Source organism: Homo sapiens, chromosome X, assembly GCF_000001405.40.
Source record: "Homo sapiens chromosome X, GRCh38.p14 Primary Assembly".
Lineage (NCBI taxonomy): Eukaryota > Metazoa > Chordata > Mammalia > Primates > Hominidae > Homo > Homo sapiens.
This window is the reverse complement of record NC_000023.11, coordinates 35950712-35971333: the sequence shown is the minus strand read 5'-3', so window position 1 is coordinate 35971333 and position 20622 is coordinate 35950712. Positions and strand designations below refer to the sequence as shown.

Sequence of the window (20622 nt, the reverse complement as noted above, 5' to 3'; positions counted from 1 at the left end):
ACAAGCCCCTTTGGCTCAAGCCAGCAACAACTTTGTGGTAAAATTTAGTCTCAAGAGACCCTGAGTGTCAACTTTATTTGAAACACATTTTTCCTCAGCTCTCACTCCTTCCCTATTCTGCTTCCCTCATTCTGTACAGGTTTCTCCCGAGAGCACACACTCCATAAATCATAGGCACTGGAATCCCTGTCTCAAGATCTGCTTCTGGGGAAACCCATCTAAGACAATTCCGAGTTAAAAGGTAACAAAAGAAATAATTGTAGTTAAAGCAGCTCAGTGTTTTGCTTTTATCACGTATTGAAATGTAGTTTACAACATCTAAAATAAAAAGAAACCAAGGAGTTAAAAAAAAATTCTGACTCTGTAGACACCATGATCTGTTGCATATTTTTTGAGGAACTGAACATTACCTCTCTGCTTGTTTCTTCTGCAAGCGCACACTTCTTAAATATTTAAGATACATTGCATAATAGTTTTCATGTAATTTCTTTTGCTGTTTTTCAAATGTAGTATATGCAAAATCATGATTCACATAGTTAAATCTTGGAACTTTTGTGAAAATTGGCCTGCAATATAAGCAAGTCATGTTAATATTTTTATATATGCATTTGTTCAATCAGTATTTACTGACAGCCTCCTAGCCAATTTCTATATCAGGTGTTGGATGTGGAATGGCAAATAGAACAGATTCTAGTCCTTCCCCTCATATGCTATTCTATATCAAGACATGATTGAATGTAGAACTAGAGTGAAGCCTATTTTTTCTTAATCTAATAAAAAAAATCCGTTGTAAGGTCACTGGGATGTAATGGTGCCTATTCTAAATCCATCTTTGAAGAATTAGTCAGTTAGGCAATTTGGACACTGCTAGATTACAGACAAGACTCCAAGAAACTAGATCTGTATCTGACTAGTGTTTCCTAAAAGTTAACTGTTTTTAGATCATCATGATCAAAGTCAGAAAAAAAAATGTACAATAATGAATCTTTTTGCTAAACATGCTACCTCCTTTAAACTTCACAACTTATGAAATAACCATCAACAATAAGCCTATATAGAGGAAACAATTCATAAAAGAACTGCGAATTACTTTATATCTAATATTCACTCAACTGGGTTTATGCTCTTCCTTTTTACCCACCATATATTTTCAATTAAAAAAAATGTGCAAGTATTCACACCTTCTGGCTTTGGTCTACCTCAATCTTCAGCAAATGTTCTTAATCATTAGGATATTCACCCTCAGTAATTAAAACGTAAGTATGGGGGGAGGGGGGAGGGATAGCATTAGGAGATATACCTAATATAAATGACGAGTTAATGGGTGCAGCACACCAACATGGCGCATGTATACATATGTAACAAACCTGCACGTTGTGCACATGTACCCTAGAACTTAAAGTATAATGAAAAAAAAGAAAAAAAACATAAGTATGAAGGTATTAGTCACAAAGTCAAATGAAAATTAATTTTTCTTCTTGTCTTCAACAATTCCTCAATGTTTACAGTAATACAGCTTTAACTGTGTTAATTTCTTTAAGAGAGTGAAAAAACAAGACAGGAAACAAATGCTTTGTTGCTCAAAGACGATTTTTGATATTTAAATTTTCCTTCAAGATCTGAGACACTTAACCACCTTTAGAACCTAGAAATAATTCCTACATATATTTGAAGTCCTGATACCTCTAACAAGGAGAGAAGGATAAGGAAAGAAGTAGTGGTGTAAATGCCTTAAATGAGAAAGAGCTGACTATTAACATATCTAAATCCTTATCAGCTCCTTAGAAAAACATCTAGAAATGTAATCTCTGCAGCTTAAGGAGGATAAGTTTTTTAAAATATGCAAAGAACAGGGGACAAAAATTACTATGGAAATAAAATATTTTTCCTCATTTATTTATTCAAAAAATATTTACCAAGTGCCTACTCTATGCCTGACACTGTTCTAAGCACAAGGCATACTGCAGCAAATAAAAACTAGACAAAAATCCCTCCCTTATTTTATTCTCAAAAACTGAAAAGGTAAAATGCATTAAAATGAAATAGAAATTACAATTATCAACAAGTAAATACACTATAAAACTTATTTCATTACTTAAAGTTACTAATTGCTGGCCAGAAAACATAAGGACTAAATACTGCCTTAACTATTAATATGAAAAAGTGTTCATTGAGAAAAATAATTATGGTCAGGGGATAAATAGTAAATACTTGGCCTTATTTTTAAAATTCTGCTATTTTTAGATCATTTGATTAATACAGAGAGACAGAAACAAAATATTAATATTAAATTAACACATTATATCTCTATATACATATATAGATATATACATATATACATATGTAGATACATAGATATATCTCTATATAGATGTGTATAACCTTAAGAAAGAGTTGAAAAAAGTACATAAAAAATTATTGCTAGAAGCCACCTCTGCAGGGTGGGAGTGAACAGAATGAGCCAGAGGAAAAAACAGAATTTTCTTTTCTATAATATGGCAATTATTTAAAATGGAGTCTGAGTGGTTTTTATGTTTCTGTGTTTTATGGTACTTGTCAAGTAATAATTTTTAAAAAGGCTAATTTGGATGGAATTTGTAAAATAATAAGATAGACTATAGAAAAACCTGGACTTTTCCTATCATAGACAATAAAACAATTATGTCCTAAAAATCAAATGGTATTGCAAGAAAATGTCTGCAGAATTAAGTGAGCTTAATGACTAACCAAAGCTAAAAAGACAAGTGCAGAAAGCCCAAAGCCATTATAAAGTTTAGATACTTTACTAGTAGCATACAAGCAGGCAGAAAAAAATAAAAAAACTTATTCCGGTCTCAAATGTGTAAAAACTATTCCTGGGCACAGGGCCCAGATAAGCATGTCGGGATGCCTGGTTCACTTCTCACTAACCATTGGAAAATTAGTAATTTATTTGAGATTTGGATAAATATAAACTGAGGTTGAACACTTTTTATCATCCTAATTGGGGAGGTTTAAGTTCACTTTGTGGAAGATTATTAAAAATGTGCCTTTGAAGGGGGTCAAACAAAGATGATGATGATGAGGAGGATGATGATGATGATGATAACCATGATTGTTTTACACAATTTTATTTTTTAGCTTAAATAAACTCAAGCTTTCAACCATACTTAATAAACATTACTACTCTGAGGACCTGTTACATTTCCAAAGATGATTATTTGTATTATTCTTCTATACTTGTCAATAGCATATTTGAAGAACATTTTATATACCATTCACTTCCAGGCAAGTACATATTGAGGTGAAAAGAGGTTCTAACCGAAAACAAACACAGTGGCATTCAACAACCATGTCACTCCATGTAAAAAAAATGAAAAGATAATTGCAGTTTTATTATTATTATTATTATTATTATTATTGTAATCATTAGTGTTATACAGCAGGATCTGATGAAACTTCTGCATGTCGTGTTGTCCATTAAGCTTTTCCAAATTTCAGGGTTTTAATATTTCATGTTACCTGAAATGTTTATGATGGTCTTTAGACCTGATAGTTGCAGCTCGGTCATTGGGAAAGGCTAATAGCATATCCTTCACTGGCTCTTCACATGAGCGATGATTGTGAGTGCGTGTCATGGCTGATTGAAGCATTGCTACAGGTGCATAATTCTTGCGTTTTGCCAAGTCTTTGACCACAAACTTTCCCGTGGGATTACGGATCGAAGGCAATATACCTTTTATAGAATTGAATATAAGTTTATAGATGGTATTTTTAATTTCAACTTTAAAAACAATAACCATGAATTAATTAATACACTAGACAATTGATTCTAACTTAAATGCTCAACTCCTAAACACATTTGGAAAATACAAATCATTAATAAAAAAGACCTACACAATTTTAGCAAAATAATAAAATATGAATAATAAAAATGCATATATAAAAATATAAAATATGATAACTTGAAGGATTTAGGTTTACCCATATGAAACTAAATTTTTTGTTGGTCCAAAACAGTTGAATATCAGCAACTTCATATGGTTCAACATATAAAAGATAATGAGGAATTAGATAAAACAGTAGCAACAAGTAAATCCATAGAATAGTCAAAAAGTTTATATTATAAACTCCCTCAACAACAAAACTAAGAAGAATAAAATATAAAAACCAGGAAAATATTAAATAAACTGTATACATCAATAAACCAGTGCTACTCAAAGCGCAATCCTCAGAATGGCAGTAATGGCAGTGTCAGCATCTACTGGGAACATTGTAAAAATGTGTCTTTGGGCCGTAACACAGACAAGCTTAATAATCATTGCTGGGATGTAAGCCAATGACATGTGTTTTAACAGGCCTTTTAGGTGATTTTGATGCATGTTAAAAGATGAGAACTCCTGGGTCAGACCACATTATTTTATATATATACATATATATATGTCTTTAGACCTGATAGTTGCAGCTCGGTCGTTGGGAAATGCTAAAAGCACTTCTTTCACATATATGTGCGTGTGTAATTAAGCAATTAGTATATTAAAATAATCTTAAATTAACAACAGTAACAACAAAGCCAGGTGGGCACTACACAATAGCATACCAGGATCAAATTTCATCACAACTTTCTTGGTGGAAGCTTTACAGATGCTGTTGAAAGCTAAATATACGTGATGGAAAGATTTTACCGACAAAGATTGCAAATCTTCTTCTGCCACTAAACCAATAATCTCTATCATCTGCTTCACTTTGAAGACTCCAAGTTGATGTGGAACAAATGAACACATCACATCCTAAAAAAAAAAGATGAAAAGTAACCAATAATAAATTGGTAGAAAAAAAGTTAACAGCAAATCTAAAAAAAAAACCAGTTAATAAAATTTCAAGGAAAGCTAGCTCATAATGGTAATATGAAAGTACTTCAGAAATATACAGCACTGACAAACTTTTAAAATATTCATTACTTTTCTTAAATAATTTTTTAATAAAAATTATTAAAATTTTTTATTTTTCTTAAATATTAGCAGCTAATATTTCTTAAATATTAGCAGCTAATATTTCTTAAATATTAGCAGCTAATATTTCTTAAATATTAGCAGCTAATATTTCTTAAATATTAGCAGCTAATATTTCTTAAATATTAGCAGCTAATATTTCTTAAATATTAGTAACTTTAAGTAATGAAATTATTTAAAAAATTATTTAAAAAATTATTTTTCTTAAATAATTTTAAGAAAAATTAAACATAGTACCAAAGCAAATTCAGAATGGTGGATTAAGGACTTCCAAAAACCTACTTCTCCAGAAGAGGAAAGAGAACACTGGCAATAAAAATTGTCAAAATGTAGTCCTTTCAGATATTTGAAGATTACCTAAAGGCTCACAAAAATCCAAGGAGTATTTACTTAAAGAAAAAAGGTTGAATCTCTGAAGGAATAGAAGACTGTGCCATTTTTACTTGATGTAATCCCATTCTTTAAAATTCAGCTTTGTGGTCTCCTTGAAAAACAACAGCCTTGCAACTGTGTGTGAAAACCATTAGCCTAGTAGCCAAAAGAGGGAAAAGAATGAGTTTGGAACACTCCAAACGCCTCACTACCAGAGAGATGTACATATTTGTTTTGTCTCACATGATTCAGAGCTCACTCTGTGTGCACAATTCTCTCTCCAGGGTTCTGTCAAATATATAGGTATATATTACTCTGTGTATGCATATATGCAGCACTTTTTTAACTTCTCAGTAACTTGAGGTGGCATTACCATTTAAGGCTAAAAGAAGGTTATTCATAATAAATGCACAAATAGAAAAGTTTAAAAATCACTTGAGAACAAGATATTCAGATGGTATTTGAAAAGCTCTGAAATATTCCTGGGAACCTAGATTGTGACACACATCTGCAGGACTGTGTATATTCCCAGAAAAGATTTAATTAAGTTCTCATGTCTCATCTATGGCTGAATTTGAGGCTCTTTACAAGGAAGAATTAAAGTCTAGAAAGAGTTGTAAACTACTTGACAGAATATTGAAGACATGCCCCAACATACTTACTTATACAGAGGCTCTTGATATAGGCTGTGAGACTTATTGATTCAAGGAATTTAAGGGAACCTCTATCCAATCATTAGCTGAACACTAAATTAACTGAGTAGAGACTTTATTGGCTGCACACAATAAACAAAAAGCTTTCACAGAATTAGTCTAGAGAATCACTAAATAAACAAAACAACAACAAAAAAGCAACAATAAATAATGCAATGATTTCCATAGTTGCCAAGTTATATTATGTACAATGCCCAGTTTTCAACATGAAAAAAATACGAGACACCCAAATAATCAGGAAAGTATGGCCAATACCTAGGAAAGCTGTAGTTCATAGATAATGTCCCTATGGAAATCCAAATGGTGAACTTATTAGACAAACATAGTAAGTTAACTATTGTAAATATTTTCAAAGAACTGAAGGGAAACAGGTCAAAAGAATTAAAGGAAGTATGTGAACAATGTCTCACAAAATACACAATTTCAATAAAGTGTGGAAATTATAAAAAAGAACAAATAAATGTTCTGGAATTGAAGAGTAACGTAACTAAAATTTTAAATTTACTTAAGGGACTCAATAGCAGATTTGAACTGGCAGAAAAACTAACCAATGAAATTGAAGACAAGACATTTGAAATTATTCACATTGAAGAGAGATACATAAGGATGAAGAATAAAGAACAGAGTCTCAGAGACTTTGGGGACATCATCAAGCATAGTCACATATGTATGATGGGAGTCTAAAAAGGAGAAGAGAGAAAGAAAAGGTCAGAAAAAATATTTGAAGAAATAATAGATGAAAAGTTCAAAAACTTGATTAAAGACAATCTACATATCAAAGAAACTCAACAAAACCCAAGCAGGGTAAATCAAATAGATCCACACCTAAACACAACAAAGTCAAACTATCAGAAACCAATGACAGAGAATCTTGAAAAACTACAAGAAGAAAGATAATCATCACATGAGAAGGATTCTTTAGAAATGAACAGCTAACTTCTCATTGGAAACACTGAAGGCAAAAAGGCAGTGGAGAGGTGTGTTCCAATATTGAAGGAAAAAGACTGTACATGCAAAATTCTATAACTAGCAAAACTATCATTCAAAACTGAAGTATAAATTAAGACATTTCCAGATAAATATAAATGAAGAGAATGTATCATTAGTACATTTTCATCACAAAAATATAAAGGGAATTCTTCACAATGAAGTAAAAGGACACTTGATAGTAACTCAAATTCAGACAAGGAAATTAAGAGCACAGGCAAATGTAACTACCTACATAGATAAATATAACAGCATAAACGTACTTTTGTTTGCAATGCTTTCCTGCTCCTATCTGATTTAAAAAGCAATGCATACAGAAATAAGTATTAGAGTATGGATGAGCTTTTAAAGAATAAACACATATTATTTGTATGACAAGAATAGCACAAAGAGGAGACAAGAACCATAATTCTATTGGAGCAAAAGTTTTTGTATACTATACAAATTAAGTTGACATTAATGTGAATGAGACTGTTTTATGTTAAAGATGTTAAACGTAACCCAAAGGGCAGTCACTAAGAAAATTAAATGTTTTTAAAGTTTCGTAAAATAAATAATGACAAAATTAAAATGGTATATTACAAAATATCTATTTAGTACAAAATAAAGCAATAATGAAATAATAGAAAATTAGGAGGATATGTAATTATAGAAAACAAATAGAAAAATAGCAAATGCAAATCCTATGTTACTAGTAGTTACATTACATATAAATGGATTGGCACACATTTACCTATGTAATAAACCTGCACATCCTGCACATGTACCCCAGAATTTGAAATTAAAATTAAAATTTTTGAAAAAAGTAAATGGATTTTCTTTACATTTCTTTCCCCCAGCTCTATTAAGGTACAACTAATAAATAGAAATTGTTTGTATACAAATATATAGTAAATATATAGTATTTAATATGTAATTTTGATGTAATTTTGAAACAATTAAATAAAGCTAAATAATATATCCTTACTGTTTTGTGTTGAAAATATTTATACCCTTTTATTAACCATAGCCACCATTCTGTACAATAGACTCTCAGAACTTATTCATTCTGTCTAACTGAAATTTTGTATTCTGTGATTGACATCTCCTTATTCGCCATCCACTGCCCCTGGCAACCACAATTCTACTATCTGCTTCTATGAGTTCAACTTTGATTCCACATATAAGTGTAGCCATGCAGTATTTGTCTTTCTGAGTATGTCTTATTTCACTTAGCATAACATCCTCCAAGTTCATCCATGTTTCGCAAATGACAAGATTTCCTTATTTTTTTAAGGCTGTATAGTATTCATACACATACACACACACACACACACACACACACACACACACACACACACACACCACATTTTATTTATCCAAGGGGAATGAAATCAGCATGTTGAAGAGATATCTTCACTCTCATGTTAATTGCAGCATCATTCTATAGCCAAAATATGCAATCAACCTAAGTGTTCATCAATAGATAAATGGATACACATAAATGGATTAAATTGTGCAGTCAAAAAGCAGAGATTGGTGGAGTAGGCAAAAACACATAATCTACATATTTCCCACAAGAGGTACACATTGTATACAAAGATACAAATAGGTTGACAGTGAAAGGATGGCAAAATAATATGTCATATGCAAACAATATCCAAAAGAGAGCAGGGTGCCCATACTAATATAAGACAAAATAGATATTGATAGAAAAAGTTCTACATTGAAAAAAGAGCATTTTATAATGATAAAAGGGTCAAGACATCAGGAATGCATATTATAACCATATATGCACCTAATAGCATCAAAAAACTGACAAAAGTGAGGGAAGAAATAGGCAATTCAACTACAATAGTGGGAGACTTTGATATCCCACTTCCAATAATGATTAGAAAAACTAAGCATGTGATCAACAAAGAACAGAGAACTGAAAAACATCATAAGCCAATTAGACCCAAAATATACCTGTAGAACATTTTACCCAACTACAGTAGAATGCACATTTTTCCAAAGTACACATTCGCACTTTGAATGAAACATTTCAAATATAGACTATGTTAGTCTGTGAAATAAGCCTCAATAATTTAAAAGGATTGAAATCTGTGCAGTATGTTTTCCAACCAAAATGCAATGAATTAAAATCAATAAGAGAAGAAAATGTGAAAAATTCATGCATTTTGGAAATTAAGCAATACATGTCTAAATAACCAATAGATTAAAGAATAAAACCACAAGGGGAATTCAACATTATTTTGGGATGAAGAAAAACTAAAACACAACATACCAAAACATATGAAATGCAGAAAAAGCAGTGACAAGACAGAAATTTATGGTTATAAACAAAAGTATTTTTTAAAAAAGACTTTAATCAATATTCTAACCATCCACCTTAGGAAATTTGAAAACAGAACAAAGTAAGTTCAAAGTGAGTATAAGGAAAGGAATAATAAACACAAAAGTAGTAATAAATAATAAAGATAATAGAAAATGTTAGGAAAAAATCAACAGTCCTGAAACTATATCTTTGAAATGATTAACAACACTGAAAAAATTTTAACTAGACTTAATAAGCAAAAAAAGAGATGACTAACTTTGCTAAAATCAGGAATAAAAGAGAGGACATCACTACCAACTTTACACCAGTAAAAAGGGGTATAAGATTATGTGATCAACAACTGAATACCAACAAACCAGATAACCTAAATGACATGGGCAAATTCTTATAAAGAGAAAGACATAAACTACTGAAACTGACCCAAGAAAAAATGAATAATATGAATAGCCCCACAACAAATAAAGGGATTGAATTAATAGCCAAAAACTTTCTGACAAAATCCCAGGACAAAATGGCTTTGGTGGTAAATTCTACCAACCGTTTAAAGAAGAATTAGTGCCAATCCTTCACAAGCATTTACAAAAAATTTAAAAGAAGAGTGTATTCTCAATTCATTCTGTGGCACCGGTTTTATTCTGATGCCAAAATCAAAAACATTTTTTAAAAATCTGCATTCTTATGTCCCTTATGAATATATATGCAAAAATCCTCAACTAAATACGATCAAACTGAAGCCAGCAAAACGTAGAAAAGATTATATACTATGTACAAGTATGATTTCAAGTTTAATATCCATATGTCAATGTAATGCACACTCTTAATAGAATAAAGGACAAAATCACATTATCATTTTAATAGACACAGAAATAGTGGTTGACAAAATACACTTCCATAATAGAAACATGCAACAAACTAGGAATAGAAGGGAACTCCCTCAAGTTTATAAAGGCAGTCAATGAAAAACTTACAGCTAACATGAAACTTGATAAGAGACTAAATGCTTTCCCCTCAGATCAGGAGCAAGACAAGATACCCCTTTTGCCATTGCTATTTAATATTGTACTAGAGGTTCTAGCTAGGACAAGTAGGTAAGAAAATAAGTTAATAAAATGAATCCAGATTAGAAAGAAAGATGTAAAGTGACCTCCATTCACAGGTGACATGTTCTTGTATCCCAAAGAATCCACCAAAAAACTACCAGAACTAATAAATGAGTTCAGCAAATTTGCAGAATACAAGGTCAATATGCAGAAAACAAATGCACTTATATGCACTAGCAATGAATAATCCAGAAATAAAACTAAGAATTCTATTTCATTTACATAGCATCAAATAAGGATAAAATATTTAGAAATAAATTTTTAAAATAATTGCAAGACTTGTACATTGAATACTACAAATATTATTAAAAGGTATTAAAGAAGACATAAATAAGTGTAAAGGCATACAATCTTCTGGATCACAGGATTTAATATTGTTAAAATGGCAATATTCCCTAAATAGACTTACAAATTCAACACAATTCTTTTCAAAATTCCAGCTGTCCTTTTTTTTTTTTTTTTTTTTTTTTTTTCAGAAATTAGCAAGCTAATGTTAAAGTTCATATGTATTTGCAAGCATCCCACATTAGGCAAAAATTTTCTTTAAAAAGAAAAAAATTAGAAGGCTCATATTTCCCAAATTCAAAAAATACCATAAAGCTGCAGTAATTACAGGCCGGGCGCAGTGGCTCACACCTGTAATCCCAGCACTTTGGGAGGCTGAGGCGGGCAGATCACTTGAGATCAGCAGCTCGAGACCAGCCTGGCCAACATGGTGAAGTATCTTGTCTCGAAAAAAAGAAAAAAAAAGCTACAGTAATTAATATATTGTAGTACTGACATAGGATAAATACAGATATGCAAAATAGAATTTTTAGTCTAGAAATCCTTATATTCACATTCAATTGGTTTTTTTATATATGTGACAATATTCTGTGATAACCTGACATCTCTATGAAAAAGAATACATTTCAACCTCTAAATCATGCCATTTACAAAAAATAACAAATAGTTTTTTTTTTTTTTTTTTTTTTTGAGACGGAGTCTCACTCTGTCACCCAGGCTGGAGTGCAGTGGCACGATCTTGGCTCACTGCAACCTCCGCCTCCTGGGTTCAAGTGATTCTCCTGCCTTAGCCTCCTGAGTAGCTGGGATTACAAGCGTGCGCAACCTCCGCCTCCTGGGTTCAAGTGATTCTCCTGCCTTAGCCTCCTGAGTAGCTGGGATTACAGGCACGTGACACCACACCCAGCTAATATTTGTATTTTTAGTAGAGACAGGGTTTCACCACATTGGTCAGGCTGGTCTCGAACTCCTGACCTCATGATCCAGCCGCCTCGGCCTCCCAAAGTGCTGGGATTACAGGCGTGAGCCACCGCGCCCGACCAACAAATAGATTTAACAGTTTGAGCTAAAATTCTTAGAGAAAAACATGGAAACAAAACTTAATGACCTCAGACAGTATATGACTACTTAGATATGATACTAAATGCACAAGAGACAAAAGAAAAAAATAGATAAATTGAACTTAGTCAAAAGTATTACTTTTATCCTTCAAAGGTAACTATCAAGAAAGTGGGAAGACAATCCACAGGATGGAATACAATATTTGTGATTTCTGTATCTGTCAAAGGACTTGTATTGAGAATATATAAAGAACTCTTGCAATTCCATAAAAAAAAGACAGCCCAATTAAAAAAATAGTAAAATGTATTCTATTAGTTTTCTATTTTGGCAATAAAAAATTACCAAAAATCTTGTTGACAAAAATAACTCAATTTCTTATCTTACACTTGTCAGAAGCCTAACACAGGATGAAAATCAAGGTGTCAGCAGGACTGCTTATTTCTGGAAACTCTAGCAGAGAATCTGCTTTCTTGCCTTTTCCAGATTCCAGAAGCCATCCCATTCCTCAACTTATGCACCCCACCCCCTTCCACCTTCAGAGCCAGAAATCAATGGACAGTAAAGTCTTCCATTACTTTGACACTGACACATTTTCTGTCCTCCATTTCCACTTTTAAGGAACCTGAGAGTATATAGGGTTCACCTGGAAAATCCAGGCTAATTTTCCTATTTTAAGGTGGGTTGATTAACAGTCTTAATTTCAAGTGAAACCTGAATTCTGCTTTGCCATAGAACATCACATGTTCATAATTTCTAGAGATTAGGATAGAGATATTTTAGGGGGCCATTATTCTGCCTATCATAGATATGCATAAATATTTCTCCAAAGAAAATATACAAATGGACAATAAGTACATGAAAAGATATTCATCATCATTAGTTACTGGGGATATTTAAATGAAAACCATAAGGACATGCCACTTTGTACCCATTGGGATGGCTATAATAAAAAAAGAAGTACATTAACAAGTGTGGTGGAGGGTATGGGTAAATTGGAATGTTCATTTATTGCTGGTAGGAATATAAAATGGTATAGTCACTTTGGAAAATAGTATGACAGTTTCTTAAAAAGTTAAACATAGAGTTTTCATATGACCCCAACAATTCCACTCTTAGGTGTATTTCAACAGTATTAAAAATCTGTCCACACAAAAAGTTGTACATGAATGTTTATAGCAGCATCATTCATTACAGCCAAAAGGTGGAAACAACCCAAATGTCCCTCAATTGATGACCGGATAAACAAAAGGTGGTATATCCATACAAAAAATATAATTTGGCTATAAAAATGAAGCACTAATACATATTACAATGTGCATGAACCTTGAAAATATTACGCTAAATGAAAGAAGCCATACACAAAATGCCTTATATAAATATAATATTTATAGAAAATGACCCAAACTGGAAAACCTACTGACAGAGAGAATAGATTAATACTTGCCAGAGGCTGATGAATGAGGAGAAGGGGAATGACTGTTAATGGACATGGAGTTTCTTTTTGGGGTGAAGAGAACGTTGTGGAATTAGTGCTGATGTGTGCAATCTCTGAACATATTAATATCACTGAATTGTATACTTCAATGTGTGAATTTTATGGTATGTGAATTACATATCAATAAAGTTATTATTTAAAAAGAATAATCTTATCACACTTCTAAATAGTCAAAGGCCATTTGACCAGTCTGTGCAGGCCACAATTCTCCAGTGTCTACTATACTTCTTACATTCGCATTTTTACTAATTTGAAAATTATTAGTGTTGGAAAAATTCATAAATGTAGAGGGTTAAAAATAATATTGGGGAGTTAGCTATTAGATATGTTTTGAAAGATGCATATGTTACTGGAGAAAAATAATTGAGTCGGTAGGTTTAAGAGACTTGGACTACAGGAAATCTAGAAAGCAGTTAAAAAGAAAACATTTAGTATAAAGTGGCTAACATTTGTTGCTATTCTTTGAAAACTGATAACATCTATCCAAATTTGGAGGGAGAGAGTCATACTAATGAAGCAGTAAGATATAAATAGGAGCTGCATGTATATAAACATGTATACAATAGTTCTTAATTGCAATTGGAAGAAAGCTTCCTTCAATAACTTTATGAACTGCATCACTGCAGTGGAAGAAATATGATAACATAAGAAACTGAGGAGAAACTGAAAGCACTCATGTTTGCTATATTTAAGGCAGGGTTCAGCAAACCCTTTCTGTAAATTGCCAGACAGTGAACACTTTAGGCTCCATGAGGCATAGGTTTTCTCACAACCACTTAAGTCTTTTTTTTTTTTTTTTTTTTTGAGATGGAGTCTCACTCTGTCACCAGGCTGGAGTGCAGTGCTGTGATCTCGGCTCACTGCAACCTCTGCCTCCTGGGTTCAAGCGATTCTCCTGCCTCAGCCTCCTGAGTAGCTGGGACTAGAGGCATGTGCCACCACGCCCGGCTAATTTTCATATTTTTAGTAGAGACGGGGTTTCACCATGTCGGCCAGGATGGTCTTGATCTCTTGACTTGTGATCCACCTGCCTCGGCCTCCCAAAGTACTGGGATTACAGGTGTGAGCCACCACGCCCAGCCAACTCTGTCTTTTTGTATGAAAGTAGCCTTAGACAATAGGTGAACAAATAAGAGTGGCTATATTCCAAAAACACTAATTACCAAAACAGGCATCAGGCCATATTTGACCTGTGGACCATCGTCTTTTAACCCATGGTTTAGAGGATATGGGAAAGAGTTACCTGTGCAGCAATTAAGAGAAAAACAGCTCCTGACAACCAGAAGCTGACCTAGTGCTCACAGGTATGCCTTGGCATTCTCTTTTTCTGCTTTGTACCAGCAGTACAAGTTCTAGGCCTGGTAAATATCACCAGTTTCAAACTTCAAAATTCTACTCAAGCTTCAATGTCTGGCTCATACATTACTCTCCTATGGAGACCTTTCTATCTGGTTAGAAGTAAACATTCTGTTATTTGAGTTTCTATATCACCTTGTTACAACTTTAACATGTTTTATATTCTCCTTAAGCCATACCTACCTGTGTATATGTCTAATATTTTAGAGGAAGTAACTATGTTTTGCATTTCTTTAAATTCCCTAGTGCCAAATGCTTTCACTGGCACATGACAGGCACTTAACAAATCATTATGGATTCTATATGAGTACCAATACAAAAATCTTCATAACTAGGCTGCAGAAGAGAAACAATTTATAAACACTGGTAGAACACATGTTGTTTCTAATCCTCCGCATAGCATTTTAGCACACCTTAAAATGTTAGCTGCCATGTAAACGCAAAGAAAAATTATCTTACCACCATACCCCCTCCAGTAATCTTGCCCTTTTCAGGATCAATTTCAAAATTTGCAGTTTTTTTAAAGTGGTACGTCACAGGAAGTAATTCGCATTGATTTTTTATGATGCACTGAATTTCTGAACGTTCACCCATGAAACAAGGTTTAAAATTAAGAACTGGTCCTGGATCAAACTGTAGTAAAACAGGAAGTCCTGTGCCTGTCAGTGCTAATTCCACTTTCTGAAATCGTTCACCTGTAAAAGCAATAATAGCTGTTGAACATAAAAAGTGTTTGGGGAATCCAGAATATATTTGCTTAGTCTATTTGTTGTCTGAAATACCTAATGCAAATTGGGTAGCTCATTCAATCTTTTCATTCAACACAATTATTGAGTGTCTTCTCTGTGTCACGCCTTGCGGATACAGCAGTGAATAAAAGAGACAACATTCCTGCTCTTACGGACTTTACATTCTAGTGAGGTGACATTGACAATAATCAACCAAATAATGTTATATGTTTACACAGCATTTCATAGAAAATAAGTATTATGGGTAAAGGTAAGACAGGTTGAGACAGAGTACAAGGTCTTGGGGATTCTGTTTTATGTAGAGATGTCCAAAAAGGCTTCTCTGATAGGGAGATACTTGAGCCAAGATATAAAGGGAGTCTGGAAAAAAATGTGAAAATCTAGGAAAAGTTTATTCCAGGCAGAGAGAACAGCAAGCACAAATACGCTAGGGCAGGAACTTGTCTGTCATGTTCAAACGCCTTTAAAGAACAAATGGCTGGAGGAGAAGAGTAGAAAAATGGAGAAAAATTGTCAGATTTTTAGATATATTTTTGAGGGTAGGCTTAAGAAGATTTGCTGATATATTGGACACAGAATAGGGAAATGAAGAAGTGATAAAGGATGACTCTAAGTTTTTTGCCTTAGCAACCAAAATGATGGAATTGCCATTTCTTGAAACAAGAGACTGAAGGAGGAGCCGGTTGTGGAAAAATCAGGAGTTCTGTTTGGGACATGTTAAGTTGAGATAACTAGTAGATATTCTTATGGAAATGTCTACTAGACCACTCTGTGTTCAAGCTTACAAGTGAAGACGAAGGAGGAAAGAGTGGAGACTTGAGGAGAGAATAAAAGGTGTGTGATATTCATCTCAGATTGTGTAAGAGTGAATGAATGGGTGAATGCAATAGGGAATGCCAAACAGCTTAAAGAACTCACTTGGGATTAGTGATTACAGATACAAAGTGAAACCTCTCAACAAGGTTGTATGTTTTTCTCCAACACAATCAGATTCCCATGTGCAGACCCAATGTAAGCTGAAAGCTGAATTTCATAGAATTAGAGGCTTTTCACTCAGTCATTGTGGGAGACAGACCAACAGATATAAGTGCACATGAAAAAGAATAATTAGAATAATGGACAATGGAATAGAAGCTGGGCAAAAATATAAACATGAAGTTTTTGGGAAACCAGAAAGATGATAACAGAAGAACAATTTTGCAGAGAGAGAGCAGTGTAACTAGAACCAAAGAAAAAGAGTTTGCATTTTTTCACTAATGCTCTTAGTAGCCAATCTTAGACTAAATTATCTTTAAGGCAAACCTAGTAACTCCATCCCTGGCTATTCAAAACTGGATTAACCTGTAAACTTTGTACAAATGTGGAATTCTCATTGCTGTCTAGGATCAGCAGACGTAGCTCAATATCACAAAACACAATATAAATAGTAACAGAACAATCCATTTATGCCCAAGGAATACAGTTAAATCCTGCTCAATATCACTTATACTGACACACTCGATTTGCATAAATATCCAGGATGGTGATCTAATCCCTCCTTGGTATAGTTCATTTTCCTGGATTTGATTCCTAACCTTCCTAATTCTCTATTTTCTCTTTGATCTGTCTTGCTAAGCTGAACTCCAAGTCCCATTCCATTTTTTTCCTCACTATAACCAACCTAATATAACCTGAGAATATAAAACATATAAGGCATATTGACATGTGGCCTGCAAAACATGTGCAATTATCAGTATCCAATAACACTGTCCTGTACCCTACTAACTAGATCTCTAGATCTTGTTTTTTACTGTTCCTATTTGTAGATTCTAAGAGAGCTGAAGGATTAGTAGAGATGGAAAGGGTCATTTGTCCCCATACCAATCCCTGAGAAAAAACCTAGGCATACATAGAAAACAAATCCGGGTTTTTTTTTCTTATTCCTTAAACCCTAGATCATCATGTTTATCTAACATCATTTAAAATTATAACCTAACTTCCAACCTGGAAAATTATTATGTAAATGATTGTGAAGTTGACTTCTTAACATGCCACAGATGACACTTTAAGGTCTCTTGAACATGTTTGCTTTTTTTTCTATTCAATAATTATATATTTTATTAGATTGTCTCTACAGATATTCATGTTCAAATTTTTAAACAATTTAAATGGCTACGGATTTGATAATTTTGTTAATTTCACACTTACTTTTGATGGTTTTATAGTCATCATCTCTCAAAAATCCATCTTTACTTCCTACGGACTCAAATCTCAAAAAGAGAGCATAGTCCTGTCTGTATGAAGGTCCAATATCCTTTTTACCAACAGCCATTAGCCTGTAAAAAAATCACAATGAGTTATTTTTAAAGCAAAGTTGATATACTTTATCACCTTGTAAGAGGAAATATCAATCCAATCTTTAAATCTATGCAAGCAAATGAATGTTAAGGAATGAAAATACAACTGTAATCCATTATCCAAATTTACTGCACAGCCAGAGAGATTTGCCAAAAGAAGGCTACAGAGTATAAAGCTGAGAAAAATGAGTTCGTGCCAACATCGTCAAGACAAGAGTAATTTAAATATACCAAGTCATCAAGGTCTAGCTCAAATGCCACTTTCTCTGCAAAGAATTTTCTTCCAGACAAAATTCATCTCTAACTAAGGACTCTGATTAATTCTTTACAATAGTCCATCTTACTCTTGGGCATAATAAAAAACATTTGTTACAAATTTGTCTTCCCCAATGTACTAAGTGCATATTGCCAGCCATGCTCTTGTTGTGGACAAGTAATTTGGAGAACACGAATTGCTAACAGTTAAATTTTGTTTGAGGAGAAAAGGAAAGGAAGGCTAGGAAGAAGGGAAATAGGAGTAAAGGCAGAGATGGTTTATGTCATAGGTCTGCTCATTGGCTATTTTTACCTGCCTTACCTAGAGGTCAGCTCTCTAGTAGTGCAAACTCAACTACATTTACAAAATACTGACATGTAATATTAAATATGAATACAAATAGTGTGGTCAGAACACATTTAACTAAGACTTCAAATCATACATATACCTATGATTCTATGCTAGACTCTCAAGTTAACATGCTGCCATGAAAAAAGAATAGAATATTTCAAATTTCAAAGATTGTGTATTAAACAGAATCTTACAGATTCACCAAAGAAACTACTTGTATGAAGGTATCATTAATAAGGCAATTGTGGATTTACATATAGAACAATTACTTGATTTATTAACCTCTTTAAATTAAAGCAAGCTCAATCTTCAACAGGCAACCCTGTTCCACAAACAAGAAGTACATTAAACATTACCCTCTCACAAACAAGGGAAAATATTCTTGCAATTGAATCAGTTCACACATATTACAACTTATCAAGGTGTCACTGAAATTGCTATTATATATTTAAAACAGCATGCTCTTCAAATTTAATAACAAAACAAAGTTCATGGAATTATGAAAAATGTACACTGGCTTAAGTGCTAAAAGTCTGTATGAATTTCAGCAAACAAGTTTGACTGATCCCTGGAAGGTGCTATAGGTTTAATACTTAGGATAGTCAGCAATAATTCTGCCCTGCCAGAAGTATTGCATCCTCTTTGGAGGGACCTACGACATGCTGCATGCACCTGACTATTCGTGGGGACAACAAGGTCTTGACTGCACAAACAATTTGGGGCCACACTCCAAAACAACTCAAAACTTGCACTTCCACCACCCCATTTCCACAAGGTCTAGGGATATTTTTAACTTTACATGAAGTATTTAGAACCATATTTAGAATTATTAGAAATATTACTAACCATGTTAGAAACATCTAGAACCATGACAAGAAAAATCTGACTTGTGCCTTCTGGCAAGTTTTACTATTATAGTATTAAAGTGAATCTGATTAAAGTGTGGTTAATATACTTTCCATTAATATTTAACATTACAATGAAATTAATTTTTGCTTACTTTGGGGTGAAACAAAATGTAATTACAGTCTTTTGATAAGGTTGTAAAGTCCCTTCATTAGGAAGACAGGAGATAATGATAGTAGTATCTATGTTCTTTATTTTTCTTATGTAGGTGAGATTATTTAAAGCAATATCTGTTCTTTGTTGAATATCTGTACCCTGTAATATAAAGTCAGATATAAAAGAGTATTAAGGCAAAACACAAAAAAATTTTTGAGGAGGTTACAAAATAATTATTGAAATTCCAGAATCTAGGAAATAGCAAATATCTATCTTTAAAGTAACATTTACACATAAATTTGACCAAGGCACATCATACAATTTGAAAAAGGATTAAAAAATTGATGAGAACAGAAATACCTTCAATTAGCCACTGATCTATAAGAAGCACTTGTCTGGTTTACTTCAGATATATATTACTATAAATGTTAGCTTAATTTCTGAATTTTTTGAGGTTGCTATTGGATACACATAAAATCAAATCTATCTGCCCATGTTAAAAGATATTTTGAATAATTAAAAAGCTTGTTGGTTATTATTAGATTTAACACAATCTCTTTTAAGTCATAATATCTGATATCCCTGTCGCACCACTTACTTACCAATTCTTCTCCCACGGCATCATCTTGTATGATGGCCACCCAATTTATGGGCTCTGGGCTATTATTGTATACACGTGCATGTTTAATTTTTGATGATCCGAAGAAAACAGGACCAAAGTGTATGCATTCCAGCCTTCTGTCACTACTCATGCTTAATAATTCAATAATCTGCTCAACCACATGAGCTTTGATACTCAAGAGCATCTCAGGTTGACCTTGCAAAATCACTCTACAGGATAATAAGATATGCACATACATACATATTTTAATTAGAATTCTATATACTTTGTTTTTCTCCCACACATTTCGACAAACAGAAACTTTATAGAATCACATTATCATTAAAATTCAGTAGCCTAAGAGTAGTTCCTTTCACGTACATACCAGAGGTTATCAGGTTCTTCTGTATATCTGAATCTACAAAATGGAATGGCATATGTGCAGCCTAATTCACTGTCTTCAGGAAACAGTAAAGTTGTAAAACAATCTCATGAATTGAACCCAGAAAAAACTCAATGGCATATTCATATTGCCAATTATTTAAATGATTTGTATGGTTACCTCTAGCTCTCAAATTCTGAAATTCTTTTCTAATTCTTCTCATCTCCCAAGTCCAACAGCTTATCTCATCCCCATCCTTACACCTCA

General features: G+C 33.1%; 1 protein-coding gene across 4 annotated transcripts in view; it reads right to left on the bottom strand.

Moving 5' to 3' along the window:
* Nucleotides 1–20622, bottom strand: part of CFAP47 (cilia and flagella associated protein 47) — a 465584-nt gene that overhangs the window by 413984 nt on the left and 30978 nt on the right. For all 4 annotated transcript variants that reach the window (NM_001304548.2, XM_017029452.2, XM_017029453.2 and 1 more), the window contains exons 5-11: nt 19975–20203; nt 19371–19531; nt 17615–17742; nt 15138–15373; nt 4580–4769; nt 3502–3715; nt 411–566 (exon numbers count right to left, since the gene is read on the bottom strand). In NM_001304548.2, the coding sequence (NP_001291477.1) occupies nt 411–566; nt 3502–3715; nt 4580–4769; nt 15138–15373; nt 17615–17742; nt 19371–19531; nt 19975–20203 (1314 nt within the window). The remainder of the gene's footprint in view (nt 1–410; nt 567–3501; nt 3716–4579; nt 4770–15137; nt 15374–17614; nt 17743–19370; nt 19532–19974; nt 20204–20622) is intronic.